Source organism: Homo sapiens, chromosome 12, assembly GCF_000001405.40.
Source record: "Homo sapiens chromosome 12, GRCh38.p14 Primary Assembly".
Classification (NCBI taxonomy): domain Eukaryota; kingdom Metazoa; phylum Chordata; class Mammalia; order Primates; family Hominidae; genus Homo; species Homo sapiens.
The window spans coordinates 63044676-63054545 of NC_000012.12; the positions used below are offsets into that span (position 1 = coordinate 63044676).

The following is a 9870-nucleotide window of genomic DNA, read 5'->3' on the forward strand; positions in this document are numbered from 1 at the left end:
TATACTCTTGCTCAAATCCTGTCTCAGAATGTGCGATGGTTTGAATATGTCCCTCAAAGTTCATGTGTCAGAAACTTAATCCTCAATGCAGTGTTGAGAGGTGGGTCCTTCAAGAGGTGATTAGGTCATGAGGGCTCTGCCCTCATGAATGGATTAAGGCTGATGGGTTTCTGATAAAAGGGTGAGTTTGACCCCATTTCTCTCACATGCATGTGCCCACTTGCTTTTCTGCCTCCTGCTATGGCATGATGCAGCAAGAAGGCCCTCATCACATGTGGGCTCCTCAACCTTAGATCCAGACTTAAGAAATAAATCTCTGTTCATGATGAATTACTCAGTCTCAAGTCAATAGCAGCACAAAATAGACTAAGACAGAAAGTTCCCTGTGAGCAAGGGTCCTTGTATGTCTTGATCACTACTACATGTATGGCCCATAAACTGTCCCCGACACATAGAGGGTCAGTATTACTATGTTTATGATCCTACACACACACACACAGACACACACACACACACACACACACACACACACACCCCTTACTGGACTATCAGGGTATCCAGGACTTGTGATTCTGCTATTATGGTGCAGGAACTGACAAGTGAAGATAAGAATTCAGAACTCAGGCCTGTAGTTACCAGCCTGATGGGCAGTGGCTCTGAGCCATGTTAAGTTTATGAAGAATCCAGCAAGGGAAAGAAATACATGATCACAGTCTTCAGGAATGCAATGGAATGATTTTTTTTTTTTCCCCGAAACAGCCCTAGGGGCTGCCCTCCAAAGAAAGCAAGAAATCGTGATACTAGGGACATTCCACTCTCTGGGTGGTGAGGCGAGTGTCTGAATCTCTCTTTCACCCACTCACCCCCACCTGAGGCCTAGGTTATTTCTATATTAAAGTCAGCAGCTCTGACCATTACCAACCTGCTTTGTATTCCTCATTCTCCTCATGATTGTTTTTTCAACAAAACTTCAATAAAGTAGTATAAGAGAAAAGGAATGTATTCCCAGTCAAGCAATGACTGGAAAGAATTCAGAAATACCAAGAGACAAGCAGGCAGGCAATTTCAGAAAACACAAAACCAGGAAAAATGATGAAGAAAAATATATCCACTTGAATGTAGATTAAAAAAAAAAAAGAACTCTTCAAACCCCATTAAACCTTAGATCTTTAAAAATGTTCCCTTAGACTTGACCAGTATTTGAGGACATCAATCAAATCTTCTCTTTAACTCCTGAAGAAAAGAAACACATCACTTCTCTTAAAAGAAGCTTTCTGGGTATGGATTGATATCTTTCAGAAAATAGACGGGTAAGGCTCAGATCTGCTCTTTGATTTTCACTCACCCAAGGGACGTTTTCTGAAATGTTTTATTTATACGGGGAGCATTTACCAAATGCTCCCATGGGGTGGGAGACTAGTTTTAAAAAAATATTAAACACTTGGAAACCAATTAAGGCAATGTTGCCAGTTTCCCAATCTTTTTTCTTTTTAGGCAGAGTCTCACTCTGTCGCCTAGGCTGGAGTACACTGCTGTGGTCACAGCTCACTGCAGCCTCAACCTGCCACCACAGCCTTCCAAGTAGCTAAGACCACAGGTGCACACCACCACGCCTGGGTAATTTTTGTATTTTGCCATGCTGCTAAGCCTCGTCTCAAACTCCTGTACTCAAGTGATCCACCCTTCTTGGCCTCCCAAAGTGCTGGGATTGCAGGCATGAGCCACTATGCCCAGCCTCTGTTTTTCTTTTTCTTTTTTTTCTTTTTAGAGACGGAGTCTCGCTCTGTCGCCCAGGCTGGAGTGCAGTGGCGCAATCTCGGCTCACTGCAACCTCCGCCTCCCAAGTTCAACCAATTCTCCTGCCTCAGCCTCCCGAGTAGCTGGGACTACAGGCGCCCACTGCCACGCCTGGCTAATTTTTTTTTGTATTTTAGTAGAGACGGGGTTTCACTCCAATATTTTAAAGTTGATAAATAGTAAATAAGAGAAACTGATAAATACATAAAATATTACTTCCTATAGTTTCTTTTTTACAAAATGCAAATGCTCTGACATTTTACCTGTATGTTTCCCCATAAATTAATTTACTTAAAATATGCTTCTAGAAAAAGGCAGTATTTTACCAAAATGAGGAATAAAACAACATAGTATATTTATGAATATACTTGTACATTTCCATCCTCTATAATTTAAGAGTCATTAAAATAAGCACCGTAAATATAAGAAATGATATTCAATTGTTTAATAAAAAACACAAAGGGGTCTCAATATATGGTATTGAACAGCTAGTTTGACAACAAGGAGATTTTTTCAGTATCTGTTCATTGTGTTTTATGGATATTCCTCTTCCACTATTTACTTATATTCATAATATTTATATATTATTTTATAAGTAATATTATATTATTTTATAAGTAATATTATATTACTTATATTTCTATCACCTCTAATTGATAATTGTATATATTCTGAAAAATAAGACCAAATATTTAAGTACTAATATTAAGTTATTATTTTGCTCAGAATCCTCAATATTCAAAATGTTATTTAGCATATTTACATTCACCAGTGGGAAAAAACGAATATTTGATTTGGATAGTCTTTTATTTATTTTGCTTGTTTGCTTTTTCTCTTATGACAGATGGTTTTAACACAGAGGGAATAAAAACAGGATTCTTGTTTATCAAGGGATCATCTGTTTCTGGTGTGTAGTCCTCACCTGTAAAGCACAATCCAATGTTGCAGCATCACAGCTTGTTGTTGTAAAAATATGAGTTCTGATGTGGTCTCCTGACACCATGTACAACTACACTTTGTGCTGCACTGGGTCATATTTTTAGTTACTATGTCAAGACTCACTTATGTGTGCCCTACTGATCCGTCTCACCAGGTGGGTGGCCAACAGTGTTAACAGTAGATACCAGAAAGCAAAGCTCACTCCTAAAATACCCAACAAGTATTTTTTCAAAATTATTTAACTTATGTGTTTATCATTTGCCAAAACCAGTCAATTGCCTTCCCTCTGTTTGAGTCAAAGCCAAAGGAACATATTCAAAGATTCCCCCACAAGAGCAATGATAACATAATGATCAAGCCCAAAGTTAGTAAGGAAAATCAAGACTGGGCATTGGTGGCTCACGCCTGTAATCCCAGCACTTTGGGAGGCTGTGGTGAGTGGGTCATCTGAGGTCAGGATTTTGAGACCAGTCTGGCCACCATGGTGAAACCCCGTCTCTACTAAAAATACAAAAATTAGCTGGATGTGGTGGCGGGTGCCTGTAGTCCCAACTACTCGGGAAGCTGAGGCACAAGAATTGCTTGAATCTGGGAGGCAGAGGTTGCAGTGAGCTGAGATTGTGCCACTGCACTCCAGCCTGGGTGACAGAGTGAGATAAGTGATTTTTGTAGTTTTTTAATAAAATTTTAATTTTGGAATGTTTTAGATTTTCAGAAAAGTTGCAAAGATAGCACAGAGGGGTTTTGTGTAACCTGTATCCAGTTTCCCCATTGTTAACATCCTTCATTAATGTGGCACATTTGTCACAACTAATAAACTAGTATTACTAAATTGCTATTAAGTCTGTATTTTATTCAGATTTCTTTTGTTTTATCCTAATGCCCTTTTTCTTTTTTAAGATCCTATCTGGGATATCTCACTAACATTAAGTTGTTGTGTCTCCTTAAACTTTTTTTTTTTTTTTTTTTTTTTGAGATGGAATTTAATTGCCCAGGCTGGAGTGCAATGGCATGAAATTGGCTCACTGCAACCTCCGTCTCCTGGGTTTAAGCTCTTCTCCTGCCTCAGCCTCCCAAGTAGCTGGGATTATAGGCAACCACCACCACACCCAGCTTTTTTTTTTTTTTTTTGGATTTTTAGTAGAGACAGGGTTTCAGTAGAGACCAGGCTGTTCTCGAACTCCTGACCTCAGGGGATCTCCTCATCTTGGCCCCTCAAAATGCTGGGATTACAGGCATGAGCCACTGAGCTCGGCCGTTAAACTCCTCTTGACTGTGACATTTTCTCGAACTTTCCTTGTTTTTGATGGCCTTGACAGTTTTGAGGAGTACTGGTCAGGTATTTTGGAGACTGTTCCTCCATTTGGTTTTGTCTTAAGTTTTTCTCATGATTAAACATGGTTTATGGGTTTGAGGGGGGAAGACCATAGAGTTACAGTGCCACTTTTATCACATCATCCCGTCATCATGACTTGTCACTGTAGATGTTAACCTTGATTCACTGGTTGAGGTAGTGTTTTACAGATTTCTCCACTGTAAAGCTACTTTTTTCCCTCCTTTACACAATTGGCTCTGGAAGGAAGTTATCATGTGCAGGCCATACTTAAGGAGGGAAGAGTTATGCTCTACCTCTTTGAGAAAGGGATATCAATAAGTTATTTGGCATTCTTTTGCACAGATTTTTTTGTTTTCCTCATATTTATTCTATATTCAATTATTTATTCATATGATTATCGACTCATGGATATTTATAGTATGCTTTGGGTTATAATCTAATACAATGGTATCCATTTTGTTGTCAAATTATTCCAGCTGGGCCTTTAGAAGCTCTTCCTGTTGGCTCCTGTGTCCTTTTGACATGTAATCCTTGTTTTGTTTTTTGAGCAATTCCTTAATTTCTGGTGCTACAAGATGCTCCAGGTTCATATTTTATACTTCTTGTCCCAGCCCTAGAATCAACCATTTATCCAAGGGAGCGCTGGTTCCTTTTAGGGAGAATTATAACGGAATGTTTTATATTTTAAATCAGGCCTAAACCTTGATTTTTTCTCACTAACTTTGGGCAGAGAAATTCCATTTGATTTACATGGCTTATTAAGACTCACAAAACTTTGGGTCAAATGCCAAAGGTTTAGACCTAGCTAAAACCATGAAGTAAGGTCAAGTGTGTGTTCAGCCCCCAAGCTTCATTCCTCTTCTCCCAATATGGTACCTCAGTCCTCCCCACACCTTGTCTTTAAAGTCCTTTTCCTAAGAAATCCCTAATTCCACTTCCATAATCAAGACTGTCTTCCAAGCATAACATTCTGCCCCCTTTCTCATTCTTACCTACACAAAAGTCCTGAGACTCCGTCTACCTTCCCAACTGCTGTCCCTCAGAGCATTGGAAGCCTTTATGCGTATGCCCAAGAAACACATTGCACATCTAAGTTTAGACAGTGAGGCTGATAAGGAGAAAAAATGATTTGAGAGTCAAGGAATCTTAAAACATAACGTACAGTAGGCCAGGCGTGGTAGCTCACGCCTGTAATCCCAGCACTTTGGGAGGCCGAGGCGGGCGGATCATGAGGTCAGGAGATCGAGACCATCCTGGCTAACATGGTGAAACCCTGTCTCCACTAAAAATACAAAAAATTAGCCAGGCGTTGTGGCAGGCGCCTGTAGTCCCAGCTACTCGGGAGGCTGAGGCAGGAGAATGGTGTGAACCCAGGAGGTGGAGCTTGCAGTCAGCTGAGATCGTGCCACTGCACTCCAGCCTGAGTGACAGAGCAAGACTCTGTCTCAAAAAAAAAAAGAAACCCCAAAAAACCATAACGTACAGCAGTCAATTTCTATCCACTGGGCCAGTCCTGGCTTCTGGTGAGAGGGTAGCCCTCAGTGCCCCATCACCTTGAGAATTCAGAACTAGTTTTCAGGGAAATAAGGTATTCCCAGATTTCACATACAGTTCTGGAATTTATACCATTCTGATTATGTGTTTGTACCATTAACAGTGTCAGCAACCATTTATTTATTTACTAAGTACCAGCCACTGAATTGGGTGTCATACTGGAACAAATTACGAAGTTCCCCAAATTCTCTTTGCCCAGCTTTCTTCCTGGGTATTTGGTTGCTCACTCAAAAGAGGGTCCAGCCTCATCTCTTGACACAGCCAGGTATCAATCTCCCCCGAGGTAGGGCTGAGTTCTGATAAGGGTGTGGCAGCCCCAGTGGCAAGACCCAACCTCATCAGATCCATGGAGGTGCTGGTTTCTCACACCACTTTCAGGTTCAGAAGGTTCATGACAGGATATGGGATCTGCCTTCCCCAGTAACAGCCTAGAAGGACCTGGTGACACAACTAAAAGTGCACAGGAGTTAATGCGGATTGAAGGTTTACTAATGAGAGGCAGAAAACCACAGAGAGCCAGTAGACAAATCCCTCTTCCTTCCTTCCCTTGATGGACAATTCTGCCCACCTGCAGGTGCTCTGTACAACCAGCTGTTTTCTCCTGAAGCTATGGCCACATTGATTACACACCATCTATATTTTCCTTCCCTCCTTCTTTTCCCCATTTATCCTTTTTCTTTACTTTCTCTGTCCTGGGATTGTATCCTCCAATAAATTGTTAGTATATAAGCTTGTCTCAGGCTCTAATTCATAGGGAATCTGGGCTAAGTACCCTACATATTATTCTTTCTCATCGTCATGTCCACCCTGGAAATATAATATTATTATCTTCATTCTACAGTGAGGAAACAGCCTCAGAGAGGTGTGCTTGCCCAAATTCACACAACTCGCAAGCAAAGAGCTGGAATGTGAATCTAGGTCTTTTTGACTCTAAAAACTCTACTCCTAACCACCACGGTATATACTGTCTCTTGCCATGTGTTTTTGAAACAGGTTTTTAGCCTAGTAAAGTGTTCACAGAAGGCTGGTACCCAAGGAGTTAAAAGGCCTTATAATAGATAAAATTTCTAAGCACTTACAATATATCAGGAATTCTTTAAAAACCTGTGTATTAACTCATTGAATCTTCACATTAATCTTATGAAGGAACTATTATTATACCTGCTTTATATATGAGGCACAGAGAAGTTTTATAACTTGCCAAGGGTCTTTCAGCTACTGTGTGGCGTGACGGTGGCTGGGCTTAGTCAGTCAGTCTGCGGAGGTCATGCTCTCACATGCTTCTCCAGAAAGAGTGAAGGGAATCATAATGGTGAAAGAACAGCAACCCACCAGCAGCACCCTCGTTTGTATCTCTGGGCATTCCAGGGAGTAGGACAAATAGCACTGACACAGTGCCCTGTAGATCAGTCCTTGGGTGGATTACTACAAGCTGTACCTGGAAGTAAGTGTTTCTGGTGTGTCTGCCATAGATAAAAGAAGGTTTGGGGTAAAAAAGGAATTTCAGAAGAAGAGGCATATTTTTTTAAAGGGTGGAGGTAAATTCATGGTACACATAAGCTTGGCTTGTGTAAATCATTTGAAGACAGTAAACTGTGCTAAAAGGAACTATGGAATAACAGGATAAACATGTAAGAGCAGCACTAAGGGTGAACTTGTGGAGAGTTATCCTAACTGTAGGGGATTCTGAACTTCAACTTGATTTTTAAAAATAATTACACGGAAACGCTTCTATAAGGGAAGTTAGGGAATCCAAAAGATTCTTCAACATGAGAAAGTCTGCAGTTACACAGGGTCATAGACTGTAGAGCTGGAAGAGACCATGGAACTGTCTTACAGAAGGCTGTATAGACAGTAAGTAGTTAAGGGTTCATGCTTTGGAATGGAGTCAGAGAGCCTGCTTTGATTCATGATCCCACAATTTCAGCTCTATGAACCTGCCCAAACAATTCATCTCCCTCAGTCTTTTATTCTTTTTCTATATAAATGATTTAATTATAGGTATTACATAGGTATAGGGTGACATGAGAGTTAAGTTAATGTACATAATGTGCTTAATAATGTCTACCATAAAGTAGTCCATAAATGTTAACTATTATTATCTAGCCATCAATGAAGTATATGAGGCCTGTAGAGGTCATGTGATTTCTCCAAGCAACTGGTTAAAATTCAGGACCTTGACTCTGGGTTTCTGTTTCTAGACTGTGGGATATACAAAGATTTGTTAAAACAAAGTCCCTAAACTTAAGGAGCTAGAGAATGAGTATGGTATACAAGAAAGGGTAAAGACTTTTGTGATTAAACACTAGGATAAAACTCTGGACTTGTTCCCTGTCGCTATCTTATCTGGGCCAGGTATTTGGACTTTTTGTAGTTTCAGCTTCTTCCTTGATAAAATCCATTTATGATGTTACTGTATATCTCATGTACCTATTTAACAATAAATTCCAGGGGCTTTATGTAGTAAGGCCTAAAGCATAGGATGAAAGAGAAAGGGGAAGCAATAAATTATCAGTATGTTGCAGGTATCAATGAGACATTCATTGTTCCATCATTAGTCTTGCATTTATCTATGCTGGCAGGGCCTTCCTAAAGAATGCAGATGGCCTGGTTTAACTCATCCAGTGTGGGCCAGTCATGCCCAAGGTCATTGCAGTTGGAAAGAAACTAAATTGCTGGTGTCTTCTAAGACCTTTGGGATATTATTAAAGACAGAAATTCTAAAATTAAAGTTTTTTTTAATTATGAAAAACTTTACACATATGCCAAAATAGAGAGCCTTGAATTCATCATTCAGATGCAACAATCATAAATTTTTGTTTCACCTGTACTCCCACTATACTAGATTAAATCCTGGATCATATATAACAACATTGAATTTTAGTGGTGTTCAGAAAACAGGGTTGATATGGTTTGGCTGTGTTTCCACCCAAATCTCACCTTGAATTGTAATAATCCCCACATGTCAAGGATGGGGCCAGGTGGAAGATAATTGAATTATGGGGTGGTTTCCCCCATACTGTTCTCACGGTAGTGACTAAGTCTCTCAAGATCTGATGGTTTTATAAATGGGAGTTCCCCTGTTCAAGCTTTCTTGCCTGCCACCATGTAAGATGTGACTTTGCTCCTCCTTTGCCTTCCACCATGATTGTGAGGCCTCCCTAGCCATGTGGAACTGTGAGTAAATTAAACCTCTTTCCTTTATAAATTTCCCAGTCTCAGGTATGTCTTTATTAGCAGCATGAGAATAGACTAACACAAGGGTTCAGGGGCAGCATTCCATACCTCCCTCCTGGTACCAGGCCAGGGAGTTTCCCCAGTTGTACAACCCAAGGGATGGTGATGGTTACATTGTTGATCACCTCTGAGAAGCTCCTTCTTCTCTGGTCCCTTCAGAACCAAAGTCTACCTCTCCTTCAGTGCTATAATTGAGGTTTTCATGACACTCTGAGGCACAGTAATTTTTCTGAAACTGGCTAGGATCCACGTCTACTTCCTTATGTACCCAAAGCATTCACTCTCTCCAACTCAAACCTGGGAACTGGGATAAAGTGTTCCTCTCTTGGATAGCCATCTAGGTCACTGGTCTCCCTGCTTCTCTTCTGGCCTTCCTTCTTCCCCCTTTCCCTTTTAAAGAGTGGGTGAGTGGAAAGGTGGGGTTGCTAATGAAGAGAAGACCTGCTCTATTACATGAAGCCTGTCCCAAATATCCTATCAATCCTGGAGTTCACAGAATGTCCACTCTATCAGAAGAGTCTCCTCAGCTATGTTCTACCTTTGAATCTATCATATCTTTCCTCAGTGGCAAGGAGTTCAGGACCTAGTATCTCTGCAAATGGAGTGGGAAATATGAGGAGAAGGGGAAAAATTAATATTTCAAAAATGTTGTCCTGCCAAAGATGGGTTTAAAATTCTGTGACAGAAAGAAAGCCAGCATAGCAATGTTCAGAGCCCTGCAAGATACAGGTGGTAATACAGGGACATGTAGTCCGAAGCAGACAGACCGAGATTGTAATGTTGTTTTACAATTCAAGGCATTTTGTGTCACTCCCTTAGTTTCCTCGTCTGTATAATGGGGATGCTAACACCTACTTAAATGTGTGATTTTTTTTTTTTTACTTTGAAAATGGTTTTATTTTACCTGCAAATAATGAACAGATGTTCTACTCATAAATTCTACTTTCCAAAAAACAATTAGAAGCTTTCTAAAAGAAAACCACACAATACATTTTAAAAGGCACTGG

The 9870-nt window shown here is 40.3% G+C and overlaps 1 annotated feature.

The window, feature by feature from the left end:
• Window positions 640-840: a silencer, noted in NCBI's record as "peak1754 fragment used in MPRA reporter construct". NCBI's record gives its function as "represses an SCP1 promoter by STARR-seq MPRAs in K562 erythroleukemia cells {active_cell/tissue: K562}" and the evidence as "EXISTENCE:reporter gene assay evidence [ECO:0000049][PMID:32103011]".